This window comes from Homo sapiens, chromosome X (assembly GCF_000001405.40).
Source record: "Homo sapiens chromosome X, GRCh38.p14 Primary Assembly".
Taxonomy (NCBI): Eukaryota; Metazoa; Chordata; class Mammalia; order Primates; family Hominidae; genus Homo; species Homo sapiens.
In genome coordinates, this window is record NC_000023.11 from 7319999 (window position 1) to 7339544 (window position 19546).

At 40.5% G+C, this 19546-nt stretch overlaps 1 protein-coding gene across 7 annotated transcripts in view; it reads left to right on the plus strand.

The window, feature by feature from the left end:
- STS (steroid sulfatase) overlaps positions 1-19546 on the plus strand; it is a 207352-nt gene that overhangs the window by 172709 nt on the left and 15097 nt on the right. For all 7 annotated transcript variants that reach the window (NM_001320750.3, NM_001320751.2, NM_001320752.2 and 4 more), the window contains 2 exons: positions 5341-5500; positions 13988-14109. In NM_001320750.3, the coding sequence (NP_001307679.1) occupies positions 5341-5500; positions 13988-14109 (282 nt within the window). The remainder of the gene's footprint in view (positions 1-5340; positions 5501-13987; positions 14110-19546) is intronic.

Here is a 19546-nt window from a genome sequence, read left to right on the forward strand (position 1 = left end):
TTTTTATATATATATTTATATATATTTATATATATATTTATATATTATATATATTTATATATATATTTTATATATATTTTATATATAGTTATATATATTTTTTGTATTTTATATAAGTATTATTTTATATATATTTTTATTATATATTTATATATTTTTTATTATATATATTTTATTTTATATATATATAAAATATTAAAATGTTATGAATGAGTTTAGATTGATGGAGAATTACAAAGGTAGTACAGAGGTATATTTTTCACCCAGCTATCTGCAATCTTACCATCCTACACAACTATGGTGTATTTGTCAAAATTAACCTTCACATGTTACCAGCTTTCCCATTAATGCCCTTTCTCTGTTTCAGAATCAATACACAATGCCACGTTACATCTAGAAGATTAACTTTTAGAGGGTGCTTTTTCCTGATTTAATAGTTTGGTTTTTGTTCCTGTTTATTTATGCTGTTTTATTTAAAACAAGGGGGCAATATGTGTATATCTAAACCATTAATGAAATCAGCCCTTTTTTGTTGTATAGCGATCACTTATTTTGTTGTTAAATTTAAAGTGAAGATGGTGTGAGTTTGATCGAGTAGCAGGATAAGCAGGTGAAAATTTTATGAGTTTGATGGAACAGAAGGAAAACTAGACAGTAATTCACACGTTGAGATTCCTCCCAAAGATCTGCTTTCAACTGCTTGAATGAACTACGGCAAAGTAGTTAAACTTCCCATTTGTTGGCTGTGATGTCTGTGAAGCAGGAATCACAGTATCTGTCAGAGAATTACCTTCAAGTGATGTTGAAAGGATAAAATAAGGGGAAGAGTTTTAACTTTCTTAGGAGGCCATCACAGAAACTACAAAGTATGATGTGAACTTCCATAGGAATCTCCCCTAAGTGACTGTGCATATAGAATGTCTGAATATCTGCAAAGGTCAGAGCCTGCTGAGGAGACTACAGTCTTCAGCTGTAAGAAATGAGCTTTTAACTATTCACAATAGCAAAGACATGGAGTCAACCAAAATACCCATCAACAGTGGACTAGATAAAGAAAATGTGGTACATACACACCATGGAATACTATGCAGCCATAAAAAAGAATGAGATCCTGTCCTTTGCAGCAACATAGATGGAGCTGGAGGCCACTATCCTAAAAGAATTAATGCACGAACCTAAAACCAAATTCTGCATGTTCTCACTTATAAGTGGGAGCTAAACATTGAGTAAACATGGACACAATGAAGGGAACAACAGACTCTGGGGCCTACTTGAGAGTGGAGGGAAAGAGGAGGAGGGAGAGGATTGAAAAACTAAATATCAGGTACTATGCTGATTAGCTGTGTGATGAGATAATCTGCACACCAAACTCCCAAGCCATGCAGATTACCTATATAACAAACCTGCACATGTACCCCTGAACCTAAAATAAATAAAAGTAAATACATAAACAAATACATACATAGATAAATAATGTAACATCTGAAAAACACACTAGAGCAGAGTGCAATAAAAGGAGGCATTCCTGTAAAGGTTAGAAAAACAAAGAGAAAGAGATGAGCTTTTAACAATGGAAATTTGCTTCAGGACCCCTGAAACCTCTGTTTCTAGTAATTTACTTCCTAAATATAAGTGGCATTTATTTCCAGTTGACTCACACATGATATTCCTGCAAGGAATGAGCATTTTTTCATTGGCTTCGTTCTCACTTAACTGTCTATTTAATGCTTCACACCAATTGTTTAAAACAGCCTCTTTTTTGAGTAGCTGAACTTCAACTCCACTCCCTTTGTCCCCAGCCTAAATTCCTGACGGCTACTTCAGTGCCCCTTAGCCCTATGCTGTCTTTGTCATGAAGGGTGAGGAAGCAGTGTTTATTCCCCCAGCGATGGGTCACCTGCCCAGCTGGAGTGACCTCAGCCCTGGCCTGTCTGAGCCCTATACTGGAGCACTTGGTCTCCATCCCTCAACGGGAGGTGTTGGTCATATAGGGGCCACAGGAAAACTGCCCCTTTGCCCTCTGAAGGTTTGCTAAAAATCAGCTGACAAAGGCAACTGAGAAAAGGCACACAAATTTATTCACGTGCGTGGAGCCTTACAAAATAGATCTCAAAGAAATGGCTGGATGGTTGATGCTTTTACACCATCTTGAGGTTACAGAAAGAATGGGGCCTTGCCTCCTGGCAACACAGGTTAGGAGAGGGGAGAAGAGGACGCCTGGCTAGCAGAGGTGGTCTTGTTATGCAGATGAGACCTCCTGTGTAGCAGTCCACAGAGAGAAGAGATGGTGAATGTTTCTTGCAGACCTTTAAAGGTATGTGTCTCTCAGTTCATCTTTCCTGGATCGGACAACGGAGGCCTTCAGAGAAAGCCTGGCTGCCTCAATGCAGATTCTCTCTCTCTCTCTCTTTTTCTTTTCTGAGACAGATGCTCACTCTGTTACACAGGCTAGAGTGCACTGGTGAGATCTTGGCTCACTGCAACCTCCACCTCCCGGGTTCAAGCAATTCTCGTGCCTCATCCTCCCAAGTAGCTGGGATTATAGGCGTGCGCCACCACGCCTGGCTAATTTTTGTATTTTTAGTAGAGACATGATTTCACCATGTTGGCCAGGTTGGTCTTCAACTGCTGACCTCAGGTGATCCACCCGTCTTGGCCTCCTAAAGTGCTGGGATTACAGGTGTGAGCCATTATGCCCAGCCAGATTTTCTCTATAGATTCAAACCTCCTCTACAAAAGACAGTTTTGCAGGGCTGCTTCTGTTTGCAGACCCTGTGAACATCCATCTCAAAATATGTCAAAGAAGAGTATTTTGGGGTGAAATATTTTGGTTCCTTCAGTGACCATCTTCTGAGATTATCTGCTGACATTCTGATCCACTCTGAACTCACCCTTCCTGCCTCTGCCGGTACCCTTTCGATGCTGTATTTAATTATATTCTAATTGCTTCATAGGCACCAAGCCTGTTTCCTCAACTCTCCTGGTTAAGAGCCATCCTGGTAATAAAATAATACCAACGAAGATAATAGCCATTTTTTGTGCCTCTCTTGCAGGCACTGAGCTTGGCAGTTGGGATAATCATTCCATGTAATAATCACGTGGAAACATAGTGGGAATATGAGATACAGAAAGCTGAAGCTATTTTCTCAAGTGCAAAGGGCTGGTGTATCTGTTTCCTATGTCCGTTGTAATCATTGACCACAAATTTAGTGGCTCAAAACAACATGTTTTTTTTTTTTAATTTTTAGATTCAGTGGGTACGTGTGCTGGTGTGTTACATGGGTATATTGCATTATGCTGAGGTTTGGGGTTCTAATGATCCTGTCATCCAAGTAGTGAACATAGTACCTGATAGTTTTTCACTCCTTGACCTCCTCCCTCTTTCCCCCCTAGTAGTTCCCAGTGTCTACTGTTGCCAACTTTATGTTTATGAGTACTGAATGTTTAGCTCCCACTTATAAGTAAGAACATGCAGTGTTTGATTTTCTGTTCCTGCATTAATTCACTTAGGATAATGGCCTCTAGCTATACCATGTTGCTACAAAGGACAATATTTTGTTCTTTTTTATGGCTGTGTAGTATTCCATGATGTATATGTGCCACATTTTCTTTATCCAATCCCTGTCGATGGGCACCTGGATTAATTTCATGTCTGCTATTGTGAATAGTGCAGCAATGAACATACAGGTAAAGGTATCTTTTTGGTAGAATAATTTATTTTCCTTTGGGAATAACCATGAATTAAATGGGTCCTCAAGGTGTTGGCAGGGCTATGTTTCTTGCTGAAAGCTCTAGGGGAGAATCTTATTCCTTGCCTTATCCAACTTCTAGAGCCTGCCTGCATTCCTGGGCTTGGGGTGCCCTTCTCTGCCTTTAAAGTCAGCAGCATAGCATCTTCCAGCCTCTCTCTGTGATTACACCCCTCCACTTCTCTGACTCCCTCTTTCCCTTGAAAGAACCCTGTCTACAAAAAGAGTCAGACTCTGTAAAACGTTTGAAGAGATTCATTCTGAGCCAAGTTGACACAGCCCCGGGAGATCCTAAGAATATGTACCTAAGTTGTTCTGGCTACAGCTTGATTTATACATTTTAGGGAGACATACAGCATTAGTCAATATATGTAAGATGTACATTGTTCAGTCTGGAAAGGTAGCATGAGTCAAAATCGGGGGGTGGGGGGTGAGGAGGCTTCAGGTCATAGGTGGACTCAAAGAATTTCTGATTGGCAGTTGGTTGAAAGAGTTGATTTAAAGACCTGCAGTCAATAGAAGGGAGTGTCTGGGTTAAAATAAGGGGGTTGTGGAGGCCAAGGTTCTTATGATGCAGATGAAACCTCCACGTAGCAGGCTTCAGAGAGAACAGATTGTACGTGTTTCTTATCAGACTTTAAAAGATACCAGACTCTTGGTCAGTTCTCTCCCGGATCAGGGAGAAGACCCCAAAAGAGAAGGAGATTGTCTACAGAATGTAGATTTTCTGCACAAGAGACAGCTTTGTGGGGCTATTTTGAAATATGTCAAATAAATATATTTTGGGGTAAACTACTTCAATTTCTATCAGGGCCTGCTATCTGTCGTGTTGGTATCTTATGGCTACAAACAGTCTGTTTTGTCAGTCTTAAGGTCTGTGTTTTAATGCTAATGCTGGTCAGTTGTACCTGAATTCCAAAAGAAGGAGGGTAAAATGAGGCATGTCCAATCCCCTGTTTCCATCATGGACTGAACTAGTGTTTCAGGTTAAACCTTTAGAATGCCCTTTGCTGAGAGGAGGTGTCTATTCTGTTAGTCGAGGGGCTTAGAATTTTATTTTTGGTTTACAACCCTATGATTATATTAGATCCACTCAGACAATGCAGGGTAATCTCCTCATCTCAAAATCCTTAGTCACATGTTTAAAGTCCCTTTTGCCATATAAGGCAAAATACCCATTTCCCCAGGCTCCAGGCTCCAGGAATTTGGATGCGGACACTTGGGGGCACCATTATTTTGCCTGCCACAGCTGGTGTAAAGTAGAAATGGAACTTGAATTCCCTGACTCCAGAGTCATTGATTTGAATCTTTGGTGACTCAAATCTTTGTTGCGTTGAGTCCCTCTGATTACAAAGTTTTTGTTCAAGATGCCATACAGTGCTGACCATGTCACATATGGTGGTGACTGTATCATATATATTCCTTTTTTCAATACAACATATACTATATTGCTCATGGAATACTCATAGATGGAATCTATGTAATTAGAGCAGTTGGTTCTTCTACATTGAGCACGAAAGAGTCCATTGAAGTGAGCATTGAAAGGATTGAAATCTCCCTGTTGCCTCTTACCTCTTTTTTGATCTTTTAGGAGGAAAAGCAAACAACTGGGAAGGAGGTATCCGGGTTCCAGGCATCCTTCGTTGGCCCAGGGTGATACAGGCTGGCCAGAAGATTGATGAGCCCACTAGCAACATGGACATATTTCCTACAGTAGCCAAGCTGGCTGGAGCTCCCTTGCCTGAGGACAGGTACTCTGATGCCAGGGTGGTTGGTATTGTTGAGCTCTGATTTCACAGCCCAGTATGCTCTGGTTTGCCTGCATAATGGTGTGGGGACCAAGGCCTTTGGCCCCCTGGAGTTTTCCTGAAAATCACAGGTTTGAGGCAGGTCAATTAATAGGATAAAAGGCATATACATTTACTTAATGTGTACACAGCAGGCTTCCAAAGGAAGACCCAAAGATACAGGGGAAATTGTTCATTTTTTTGCTGTGGTTCAGCAAAGTATGGGCAGTGTGTAGAAGTAGGATTGGAGGGAAAGGTCTGACCTCATGCTAACGGACTGAGTGGGGAAACCCAGCCAGGCCTGTCTATCTAGATGCTTCTTGGCCTCTCTGAGCAGTTTTCCTTCCTTCTGGGCATGGGGCAGGGCCCTCTCTGGAACGGGGGTCTTATGACCTACAGTCAAACAAAGTAGGTCAGAGGATTTATTTATGGGCAGTTTTTACACAGAAAGGCAGGGGGAAAGTTGGAGTCATATTTTTAGGTTTGATGCTGGCTTTGGGGATCAGGGGTTTTGGTTCTTACGACCTGCATTGGGGAAGAGGGATTCTAGTTTCTCTGGCGCCTTGGGGTAGAGTGGGACTGAGAGACAGGAGGGCAGGAGAAAGTCAGAGGAAAACTGCACTGAGGCCACTGCTGAGGCCCTCGGTTTGGAGTGTCACGATGCCTCCAGCTGTACTTGTTATCTCTGTCCGGTCTGGGGCCTTACTGGTGGGTTTGCCAATGTAAAAACCCCTCTGCCAATCTCTTTATCCAGAGGGAAATAAACTCAGAGGCACTGAAGGTTTTTAGTGACCAGGAATGTGGACGGGTGGTGTTTAATTCAGCCTTGGTCTTTCGGCATCGTGCTGACGCTCTTCTCGTCTGTTCACCCCACCGTAGCTTGCCATTGTGCAGCTTGGCCACAACCTCTTTGACCTCCAACTTTGGGATCCCACACCTTTTCCTTTGTCCACACTCAGCAGCCCTTTGCTGTAACAGGGAGAAATGCAGCCGGGTCCCCAGCTAAGGCCCCATTTCCCAGCACGTCTTCACTGAGAAGTTCTAAATGAAATGTCTTTCTCTTAAATTTAAATACGACTTCATATGACATTGCCAGTGGTTTCTTCCTAAGTGTTATTACCAATCTGAAGAGTTTTAAGTGAAGCACACTGATTAATTGTTTTCATTAGTTTGGTGACAGACCAGGCGAATGTCACGCAGGCGGCTGCAAATCTTGTTTAAATTCAGCTGTAATGAGAAGGAAGAGGAAAGGGGAAAGGAAAGACAAAAACAGCCACGCTGCCAAAGCAAGTCCAGAGATGGGTTTCCTCCCCTCCCGCTGTATTCGACCTTGTTTCCTTACTGGTTTCAACTCTGCTTTAGGTATACACCCTTCCTCAACACACACACAGACACACACACCAATGAGAAATGCAGCGTTGACAGTTCAACTATTCTCAAACTTTGAGGTCTCAAAACCCCTTTTCATTCTTCCATGATCGAGGACCCCAGTGATCTTTTCCTGATGTGGATTGTATTGAGCGACGCTTATTATATTAGTAATAAAAAATGAAATTTTTTAAGGCACCAAAGTACTCCAAGCTCACATTCCATTGGCTAATACATCGATGATGTCATCATTTACCCTGTGGCCACAAGGAATGTCCATTGTACACTCCTAAAAAGGTGATAGTGAGAAAGACAAAGAGTGCCTTCCTATTGTTATAAAAATAACATTGGCCTCGCAGACCTCCTGAAAGGGTCCCAGAGAGTCTCTGGATCACGCTTTGAGACTAGTGGGTGCTATGGCTAAGAGTGGAGATTCTAGACCTTTCTAGACCTGCACTGGTTGAATTCATATTCTTTTTTTTTTTCTTTTTTTTTTTTGAGATGGGGGTTTCACTCTGTCACCCAGGCTGGAGTGCAGTGGCGCGATCTCAGCTCACTGCAACCTGCGACTCCCAAGCTCAAGCGATCCTCCCACCCCAGCCTCCCGAGTAGTTGGGACCACAAGCATGCACCACCACGCCCAGTTAATTTTTTGTATTTTTGGTAGTGACAGGGTTTCACCATGTTGCCAAAGCTGGTCTTGAAGTCTTGAGCTCAAGAAATCCTCCTGCCTCGACCTCCCAAAGTGCTGGGATTACAGGCTTGAGCCACTGAGCCCAGCTGAGTTCATATTCTTGTCATCACTGCAGGGTAAGCGTTGAACTTTCCTGGGCCTTCACTCCTTCTCTGGAAAATAAGTTCAATAATAACACTGACTTTACAGGATCAATAGGAGGATTAAAAACCTCCTTGCCTGTAATGTTCAGTACAAAGAAGGCATGAATGTTTGCCATTTCTTGTTTTGCCTATCATTTTGAGGTAGTAGTCAGATGTACATTATTAGTACAGTTCTTTCCTCTTCCACATTTAATATTCATCCGAGGTCATAAAATCATAGAGTATGAGGCCAAAAGGGGAATTGTAAGATCTCCTACTCCAGTCAAACTATTCTTTTTTAACACTCTAGTGATGGAAAACATGGCAGCAGTGTCTCAGAAAGTTTTTCCTATATAAAGCCAAAAATCCCATTCTCTATTTCACCTCCTCCTTGGCTGTAGTTCTTACCTTTGGAATAAAGGTTAATACTTCCTCAAGTAGCTAGAACAGAGTGTTCAGCCAATCTCATTTATTACGTTTGTCTCTCATCACCCATAATGTTAAAACCATCACTGCTCTTCACTTTCATAATATCTTGGAATGGTTTTCTACCCAGTGGGGGAAAAGCAAGGTAAGGAAAAAGTTCAGAGGCAAAGAGGAAGATTCATAAAGGGAAATCTTACTGCTTCTACCTTCTAGCCACTCTAGTCTGAGGCTGATGGAGGCCAATCTGTGTTTCTTCTATGTGCTCAATGAAGAAGATAACAGCCTCCCTCTTAGAAGACCCAAGGATTTTGTGTGTGGGTTTGTGTCATCAGTAGAACCAACTCTCAATATTGAAGATTCCCCTCTGTTTCTGATTCCTTTCATGGACCTCAGAGGTGCTTGCTGACCTCATTTTTTTTTTTTTTTTTGAGCAGAGTCTTGCTCATTTGCCCAGGCTAGAGTGCAGTGGTGCAATCTCGGCTCACTGCAACCTCTGCCTCCACCTCCCAGGCTCAAGCGATTCTCCTGCCTTAGCCTCCTGAGTAGCTGGGACTACAGGCGTGCACCACCATGCTTGGCTAATTTTTTGCATTGTTAATAGAGACGGGGTTTCACTATGTTGGCCAGGCTGGTCTCAAACTCCTGACCTCAGCTGATCCGCCTGCCTCAGCCTCTCAAAGTGCTGGGAATACAGGTGCGCACCATCACGCCCAGCTAATTTTTGTATTTTTAGTAGAGATGGGGTTTCACCATGTTGGCCAGGCTGGTCTTGAACTCCTGACCTCAGGTGATCCACCCACCTCGGCCTCCCAGAGTGTTGGGATTACAGGCATGAGCCACGACGCCCGGCCAGTTGACCTGGTTTTAAACCACAGATGTTGCTTCTGTGTTGAGGTCCTAGCTCCTGGTACTAGTCCAGCTGTAAAATGCCTTTGTCATCCTAGAGACAGCACAGGTTAGAAAACAGAAATGTGCTTCCAAGTGCCTTATGGGAATAGAATTATCACACAGTACCTTATTTAAAGCATATTGCCAACCAGGTACAGTAATATTCTTATGTATTTGTCCAGAAGACTTTGAATATCTAAAGTAGTGTTTTCCCCCAGGGGTCACTTATCAATGCCTGGAGACATTTTTTATTGTCTTGGCTCAGGGTGCTACTAAACATCCTGCAACACACAGCACAGAGCCCTACTGCAATGATTATCTTACCCATTATGTCAGCGGTGCTGACGTCGAGAAATCCTACCCTGAAATTTATTATTGCTCTTTTATGGAAAATGTTGTTATAATGGAAAATCCCATCAAAACTTTTCAATAAAAGCATCTAGACAATACCCTCACATCTATATCCATCTATAAATGTGATACACAGATGTCTGCCCTTTAGAAAATAGTCTTAACTCCTTCCTGCTCAGAGTGGTGCAAATAAGCTTTCTCAGCTCCCTGCTAGAGAGATATTAAATTTGCATTTCTCAGGAGAAGAAACTCATTCAGACGGTTGGACCCAAGCTGTTTGATGAGCACTTAACAAAGTGCCTTTGCTTCTTTCTGCGTTTTGTTTGAAGAAGATAACTTCTGTTCAGCAGACCTCCATTCTTCACGCACTGTCCTGTAATTCTCAGGAAGCATTTTGGATCTAGTGGGAGTCCTTCATGGCCAATCAAAGCATGGTGGGAGATCAGAAGCCCGTGGATCCAAGGTTTCTACTTAAGCCAAAAGAAAGGTAGTCCGGAGGAACACAGGAAAGATTGTTGTTGTTGTTGTTGTTGTTCTGTTTTTGTTTTGCAGCATCTTAACACTGCAGTGAGAATAATTCTCTAATTCAACCCTATGATGTGCTTACGTGAGATTTCTCTCTGGCAGTGAATTTTTCCTTCATATGCACGTTAGTGATTCATTTTCATTCAGTGGCATGACTTATCAGAAGAAATTTCAGTGTCCATCACCCTGGGCATATTCAGAAAAATTATTTCCCTCCAGGTCTCCAAATAAGCTGATTTTGGAAATAAATGGAGGACAACCTTTTGTGTTACAAAAGGCAGCAACAAGGACTTACAAAAAAGAAGAATCGAATATCTAAATGTATTAATTCATTAACATGAAAATTCTTTCTGTGGGTCTCATCTTTGCAAGCAGATACAATATTGCCATAGTATGAGTATGACCATGCCCCTTCCTAACAAGGTATTAACATCAGTAATAGAGAATGGCAACAAGCCATAGTTGGTTACACCTTTTGGAAAACATCAACATTTTAACCATAGACCCTTCAGCTGGGATGCAAGGAAACAGAGTGCTGGCAACCTCAAGAATCAAATTTTAGAGGTGAAATATTTAGAGCTTGTGGTCCATAATTAAAACAAAATTTGACTTCATTTTTTAAAGTTACAAAAACAAATTAATGCTTTAATGCTTAACACACTTTTGTCTAATGGAGACAAGGAATGGATTTAGCTGACTTCTCCCAGTAACTTTTGCTGACTTACAGTTGAGCCACTAGAGAAGACCTTTTCAATAGAGTGATACAGATGAAAAAGTCAGTGAGCTGTATCTGCTTTACATTAGTTTTGCAGAACTAAAGGTGACTCTCTTCATGGGAACAATCCCAAGTTTGTGTGTGTAACCACTTATACTGATCTTGCTTTCTGTTCAACTATGGCAGAGGGTTTAATGTTTACAAATGGAAACATATTTTTCTGAATTGTGATAATAACTTTCTGAATACTTAAGATTCCCTTTAATTTATTACAGATATATGTACTTTCTCCTAAAGATGTTTCCTTAACTATGACTGTCTACATTGAAATCATTGCCATTTGTATATCAAATAAGCTGCTCACCAACATTGTGCCCCAAATAAGCTTCTCTGTTAGTCTCCAAGACCTTACCTTCTGTATCACCCCAAACCTTTTCTTTCTCTTATGATCCTTCAGTCCTTGGCCTGGCAATTTGGCCAGGCAAAGGGCGCGTGGGAAGGACATCCCACGTGGAGGGACGAGGATGTTGAAAGCCTCAGAGCTGAGAGAGAGCACAGCACATTCTTGGAGGAATGACGTCAATAGGGTTCAGGGAAGGTTTCCAGAACATGCCCTTTTTAATTATGTAAAAATTGTCTGTATGGTATTTAACTTGACCTGAAATTTTGACACAAGGGTACCTTGCAAACAACCTGTTAATAGCGCTACCATCATTGTCAGTCAGGAACCCAAGGAGAATAATTTCACCTTCCAAATTAAAAACACTCCCAAACACTCCCTTTTCCACCAAGAGCCATGAGGGCACTAGGGCAGAAAACACATTCAGTTTTTTTTAGCATTGGCTGTTATGCAAACATGCTACAAAAACTTGAATTAGTTTGCAAGAAAAATCCCGTTAGACTGTTTCCAGAGAAAACAGCAATGCTTTGAGTCACTTTGAAAGTGGATTGGCCCATCTCCCCCAGAACACGACATTCTAAAAGCATTTTTGTACTAGCAGCGTTAATGGAAATGTGCTGTTCTCTGGGTTATTGCCATAGTTAACTGCGAATCCCACAAGTGGTTTAAGACAATCCCAAATATTTCGATAGCTTAGACACCACTTAAAAGTTTAGCTCAACAGGGTCACTTTCCATTTTTCATGGCAGAAATGAGGCTTCCTTTGACAGACCATATTTCTGCAGCACTGTTAAATGGTGGCTTTCCATAGCAGCGTGATTTATGGCCTGCCTCTAGGAAGGACCACGTTAGGTGTGGGATATTAAAAAAAAAAAAAAAAAAAAGTCTATCTCCACTTTGGAAGAAAAATAGAAAAATAAGTTTGCAGAATAAACTTTGTGCCCCTCCTTTAAAAAAACCTCAAATATTTCATTTTTAAGTAAGAAAAAATAATTATAAGACTTGGAGTCTTATTTTGTTTTAGTTAAATCCCCCTTTCCTATAATCATGATCAATTTCAGTTATCAAATACTGATCTTGGCCAAGGCCGGAGGAGAGCTTGAAGCCAGAAGTTCAAGGCCAGTCTGGGCAAATCGCTCCAAAAAAAAAAAATGAAAAATAGCTGGGCATGGTGGCATGTACCTGTAGTCCCATGTACTTGGGAGGATGAGGCAGGAGGATCGCTTGAGCCCAGGAGGTCAAGGCTGCAGTGAGCTATGGTCGCGCCACCACACTCCAGCCTGGATGTCAGAGCAAGACCTTGTCTCTAAAAAAAAAAAAAAATCGAAAAATACTGATCTTAAGACAGCAATTCCATCTCTCATGTTCTTATATCACAATATCACATGATGAATTTTGTTGGCAGATGGAAAAAAAAAAAAAAGCCAGATTCAAAAAGTAAAATTCTAGCTTGTGTCCCAGAAAATGGGGATTTCATCTTGCTTTTGGGGAGTCATTGAAAGACATTCTCCCTGCTTGGGGAAGGATAGAAATCCTCTGTCCCTCGTCTCTCCCCTTCAGGTCACTTTTCACCACTGGGGGCTTTTCCTGGTCTAATTCTCATGCCTGCCCACTTCCTCTCTTACTTCTTCCTTCCTTTCAGCTTTATTTGGGATCTCATAAAGGCCTGAGTCTTTCTTGAAAGGAATTTGAAAAGAACCACGCACAATGACTGCCATTTCGGGATGGAAACAGTATTTCAGGGCACACGCTGTGTCTCAATAGAACTCTCTCTACGGTGTTTCTTTTTCTTCCCCTCGTGGTTCACAGGAACCTTGGTTTGAGAAGTGAGCCAAGCCAGTCTTTTGTTCTTATTTTTACTTATGATAATAGAATATTTTCAGTCTGCAGACTTCTGCAGAGTGCATGATTAATAACAAGGGTTGAGACCGGAGAAGTGCTAACAACAAGGCTATAATTACATTATAGGTTTTTAGTGACAACAAAATAAACCATGGGAGAAAGCTCAAGGGACATAGGACCTCTTAAGCACACTTACCAAAATTGTACAGCCACGCCAAACTTCCAGTTTCTAAACGCCTTGTAACAAGAGATGGCAGGGATGTAGTGTTTTTAATCAGAGAAAGAAAATCCTCAAGTTAAACACTCACCCTTTCAAAATAATTATCTGCCTCTCATTTTGATGGCAATGGCCTAATGGTATCATGGCTTCAATTTCTCATGTAGCTGTTAATTTATGTTTAATGCAAAACACAATTTTATACCTTATTCCTTTCTTCAAACTATAAGTAATCTTATTTTGCTCATCACCAACTGCATATGTCTTATTTTCTTGGCCTAGTTAGATACCCAGTAGTAGAGGAGATATATTTTCATTTGGGAATAATCCGTTCCCTGGTTATTTAATGGTATCATTATTATTATATATACATTAATTCATTCTAAGGAGAAATTTGCATTCATTGCAGTCTACGAATCCAAGTTGCCTCATGCAATATAGTATCTTTTTATTTTAATCCCAAATTGTCAGGTGCCCATCTTTTCAGCAGGCCTGTATGTCATGAATAAAGCTTTCCCTTTGATCAGGCAATAGACAGAAAATTGTGTTTTGGAGAAGCAAGAGGAAGAATAAGGGTATGAATGCCAGATCAGCTGGATTTCAATCCCATCAGTTCTTACTCGTCCCATGACCTTGGGCAAATTACTTAACCTTTCTGTGCCTCTGTTTTCTCATCTGTGCAGTGGGGATGACAGTAGTTCCAGCTCATGGTGCTCTTTGCAGATGTAATGAGATAATGCACGGACAGAGCTGGGATCAGTGTGTTGCACAGGGCACCCAGGTGGGGTCAGTCTTCTTTGTATTAATTACGACTGGAGCTCCCTCATGCTCTTATTGGTTCAGAAGGACATTTGAGAACACAGGACTGATTCACGTCTTGATGCCTGGCTGTTTATCCCACAGGATCATTGATGGACGTGATCTGATGCCCCTGCTTGAAGGAAAAAGCCAACGCTCCGATCATGAGTTTCTCTTCCATTACTGCAACGCCTACTTAAATGCTGTGCGCTGGCACCCTCAGAACAGTGAGTAAACAGACCTTTCCACGCTCCTCATGCTCCGTGCAACCTATGCCATGGGAATAGATAAAACTAAAGGGTAAAAAGGTGGCTCTGCTCAATGGAGGCCAACAGGTGCCTCAATGTGCGCCCATGCTTTGCTTTGTCCTCTTTTCCCTCCTCCTCCTCTCTTTTCGTTCTGGTCACATAGTTGTCCAGGTAGGAGGACATCAGAAGGCCATGTCATTCACCCACCTGAACACCACCCACAGCTTCTCTATCCCAGCAGAGAAAGCTCCCTGTTCTCAACAGGGCGCTGTGGCCGGTTGCTTTATTGCATGCACAGCTGCCCAGCTTCACTTCCTAGCACTCCTCTCACACTGAAGAAAGCAGCCCCTGTGCTCTGTGCATTGCTGTGCTTACACTTGCAGGCTCTTCTCCTGGAAGGATGTCTTGCCTCATCCTTCTTGGAGGGTACTCCTCAATGCCCCCCAGGCCCTGCTGAAATGCCACCTCCTCTGCATGTCCTCAAAACATTCCCCTCACTCTTCTAGCAAGCCACTAAAGGCTAGAGAAGGAATGAAGAGCATTTAAATGTTTATCTGACTTACTTTCCCAGCCTAAAGATGATGGATCGTGACTCACTGCATCTGTATTTTGTGCGTCATGCATATTTGCTACATTTAGATATTTAAAGCAAAGTTAAAATGTTCTTCAGTTCTATCTCATTTTCTGAACTGGGGGTTCTTTTAATTGTGCAATTGAACAGGATATCTTGTGGGTTTTCTAATACTTGTTTTATAGTGGCATTTCCAATTAGCATACAGGAACAAATGGTTTATAATCTTAGGTGTGGTTGTTGATTTTTATGGCTGCATAGTATTCCATGGTGTATATGTGCCACATTTTCTTAATCCAGTCTATCATTGTTGGACAATTGGGTTGGTTCCAAGTCTTTGCTAGTGTGAATAGTGCCACAATAAACATACTTGTGCATGTGTCTTTATAGCAGCATGGTTTATATTCCTTTGGGTATATACCCAGTAATGGTATGGCTGGATCAAATGGTATTTCTAGTTCTAGATCCCTGAGGAATCGCCACACTGTCTTCCACAATGGTTGAACTAGTTTACACTCCCACCAACAGTGTAAAAGTGTTCCTATTTCTCCACATCCTCTCCAGCACCTGTTGTTTCCTGACTTTTTAATGATTGCCATTCTAACTGATGTGAGATGGTATCTCATTGTGGTTTTGATTTGCATTTCTCTGATGGCCAGTGATAATGAACATTTTTTTATGTGTCTGTTGGCTGCATAAATGTCTTCTTTTGAGAAGTGTCTGTTCATGTCCTTTGCCCACTTTTTGATGGGGTTGTTTGTTTTTTTCTTGTAAATGTGTTTGAGTTCTTTGTAGATTCTGGATATTAGCCCTTTGTCAGATGAGTAGATTGCAAAAATTTTCTCCCATTCTGTAGGTTGCCTGTTCACTCTGATGGTAGTTTCTTTTGTTGTGCAGAAGCTCTTTAGTTTAATTAGATCCCATTTGTCAATTTTGTCTTTTGTTGCCATTGCTTTTGGTGTTTTAGACGTGAAGTCCCTGCCCATGCCTGTGTCCTGAATGGTATTGCCTAGGTTTTCTTCTAGGGTTTTTATGGTTTTAGGTCTACCATTTAAGTCTTTAATCCATCTTGAATTGATTTTTGTATAAGGTGTAAGGAAGGGATCCAGTTTCAGCTTTCTCCATATGGCTAGCCAGTTTTCCCAGCACCATTTGTTAAATAGGGAATCCTTTCCCCATTTCTTGTTTTTGTCAGATTTGTCAAAGATGAGATAGTTATAGTTGTGTGGTCTTATTTCTGAGGACTCTGTTCTGTTCCATTGGTCTATGTCTCTGTTTTGGTACCAGTACCATGCTGTTTTGGTTACTGTAGCCTTGTAGTATAGTTTGAAGTCAGGTAGCGTGAAACTTAGAATTACAGTAATATTCCTATCACTAAGATACCTGGCAGTCAATGGTAAGTGGTGAGCAATTTACACAATTATTGTATGTTCTAGAGGTACCTGTTGAGGCTGGACTTTCAGTTCCTTCTTTGGAGGTAAAATGAAATTCCCCTTTTCTCTAAGGGGCTTTGGAGCTCTGCTTCTAGAACCTAGGACTGCCCCCCCCACCCGCCCCAAAGGAGGGGTGTGTAATAACCTCCTAGGTGCTAACTTCTTCTTAAACTTAGGGTGATTCCATTCCATTTTCCAACAAATCTTTGTCTCTTCCCCACTCACCTAGCCAATTTACCCAAGACTTATCATTTAAAGAAAAGCCTCTCTTTTATTTTTACAACTTTTCCATAAAATTACAACCTTTCTATTAGCCACAGAAATCACACCAGGTTTATGCTTCAGAGTTTCTCCTTTAAGTCTGGCAGTTTTCTCATGATATGTTCTAGAAGACAAAAAAACAACAGAAACATGGGCTTGCGATTTTACTTCTGGAAGCATTTTATTCACATATCTCATCCATGTGGCCACAATTCCTAGTTTCCATAAGAATACTCCTTCTTTTTTAGATCAGTTTATAGCATCAACTTCTGAGCTTTGTAATAAATGAGAGCTCAAGGACTCTTAATTTCTTTTCATATGGAGCCGGCAAGAAATGTGAAGAACAAAGTTTCTGTGACTACTGCATGTTCGAATAAGTCTGTATCATGTCCTGAACCTTGCAAAATTGTATTTTAATAGAGCCAAATCCCCAGTTAGAGAAGCGGGAAGGAACATATTGGATCAGAGGCTGGAGGAACACATTATGTGGAGGAGTAAAGAGAAAGGGGACAGGAAGAGACAGAAAATAGGAGTGAGAAAAACAAGACCCAGTTTCTGATAGGCAACTGGCCCCGGGATAAAATTTGCTTCTTAGACTCTGAATGCAATTCCTTCAACTCTTCTGCCTTGAACTGGTAACAAAAAAAGGAGAAATCACAGTATCTGAAGGCTAGAATCATTTATCGAGATAAAGGACCTCAGGAAAACAAGACGTTTATGAATCATTTATGATTTATTTTTCAGATGCTATCTGAAACTCAGCAACCATATTTGCTGTCTTGGCTTTTGTGTATGGCTTCATGTTTAGTCATTTTGTATTTTATGTGTTCATTTTTCCTAGAAATATGTATTGAGCACCTACTGTGTGGAACATATCGTCTTAGCGCTGGCATCTGTCAGTGAGCAAAACAGACAAAGTTCCCTGCTGAAGAGTAGCTTACATTTTAGAGCATGAGGCACTGCTAGCTGTACAATGTGCTGGGAATACAGGGATGCGTAAGGAAAACGTGACTCTCATCCATATGGAGCTTTCTGTCACCTGGGGAAGACAGATCTTAAACTAGTAATAGTTGAGTGTGACTGCATAGGTCATCTCAGATAGACTTTGGTAGGAGCTTGCCAATAATCACTAGACTGTGGAACATATTCCATGAATCTTAGGGATAAGAGGGTTGTCGCCTGACCTCAGAATACTTTATTAGAAAATAGAAAAAAAGAAATGTAGTATTAGGGTTTAGTAGCAGGCAGTGGTATGCTGGAATCAGCTCCTGATCGTTCAGAAATCTTGCCAGCTTGTTATTAAACCATTGTCTGTTTTCATTTGGCTGTGTTGTGGGTGTTTACACCACGGCAATTGGCAAACACAACAAATACAGGTTGCCTTTCTCCCTCAGAGCCCTAGATTAACAACAGTTTGTTGGTATCAGTAGAACTGACTGCAGATGTTTTTAAGATGCAGTTTACCATTTGTCTTGATTACTTAGAGGATTAAATGTTATAATTCCAAACTCATGAAATACTGATTTTCAAAAAACTTAATGCTAGGATTTCATTTCCACCCTTTTAAAACATGAATCTCTTTTAAAATTTATATATAATGTCTTCGCTATAATTTAGTTGTCTCAGTAAATTGAATGACATAATTTAATTATGACCTGATATCATTATTCCTATTACATTTTATAAGAACTCATGAAAGCATGATTATAACATGGATAACTTTTCTTGCACTAAAATAAGAATTTTGAGTTAAAATTTAACATTCAATGGGTATGAAAAATTTTGGCTTTAATGTTTGACATATGAATTAATGTTATTAAAAATTCACCACAATGACAACTTGATTTTATGGATGGAATTGATCTTAGAGGGTAGGTGGATACTTGGCTCCAGGATTTTTAAGCTGATGACTGTAGTCTGTGAGATAAATATTCACATTAATGGAGAGTCCCCAAACCAGCTGGTCATACCAAAATCCATGGGATAGCTGTAGATATATTCTAGAATGCAATGCAATATAGTACATAGTTAACAGCTTAAAGCGTTTTGTACAGACATATATGGAATCTTAGCATCATGTAGACAAGAAAGTCACATATATTTAAAATGTCACACTTTAGTCAGAAACGGGATCTCCATGAAGCTATAAAAATTACTTAGGGGAACGGGGCACCAATACCATTATTTCCCTAGGAGAAGGATGTAGACATCCTCACATTGGACTAGCAGAGTTTCATAAATCCTGGCTCCATATTCTATTCAAGTTTGTTGGAAACTTTTTCCCAACAACAAAAAATAAATAAATAAAGCTTTATTTTAAAAATGACAATACTAGGAACATTTGAATGATTCTCTTCTAGCTATTGTGAAATATACAATCAATTAATGTTAACTGGTGATGGATATCCCAATTTCCCTGATTTGGTTATATGAGTGTTTCAAATGATCACAGGTACCCTGAAAATACATACATTGAATATGCATCAATAAAAAGTAAATAATTAAATAAAATTACAGCAAACAGCCATAGGGTAATGGAATTCATTCCAAAGGAATGTGTTCCTTTCCGGCTTTCTGAAAGATACCTTCATTTCAAGCTCAGTAAATGGTTTAAAATCAAAACCAGCTTACCGTGGTAACATAAAGAAAAGTGCTCGCATGGCTCACTGTCTAGCATTTTCATTTAATTAAAAAATTAATTTTGCCTCTAAAACACACCTAATAAAAGAGAAGAAATTCTCATAACAGCCACTTATGAGTTAACAGCATCAGAAAGGCAGCACTTGGCTTTCATCATCACTAGTAATTTTGGTGAGTACTTGTCAGATGCCCTTCCTCATCTAATCCTCAGAATTAGGATCTAAAGTGTCAGAAATGAAATATCGAAGGCTGAAGCTGACCTAATGTGAGATGCAGCATTTCCAAATTTAAGCTCACCAGGATCTATCCTGTGTTTCAGCTGACCTTATGAAAGGACATATTTTCATCCTACTCTGTAACTGTTGTAGCAATTAAGAAAAAGCACATATATGTAAACCATTTCAAGGATAACTTTTAAGTCTTAGGATTTATTTTCTCTGTGAACACTTCAAATGCTGCATTGCCACAAGCTTTTAATAGTTCAGGCATGCAGCTATTATTTCACTCATGT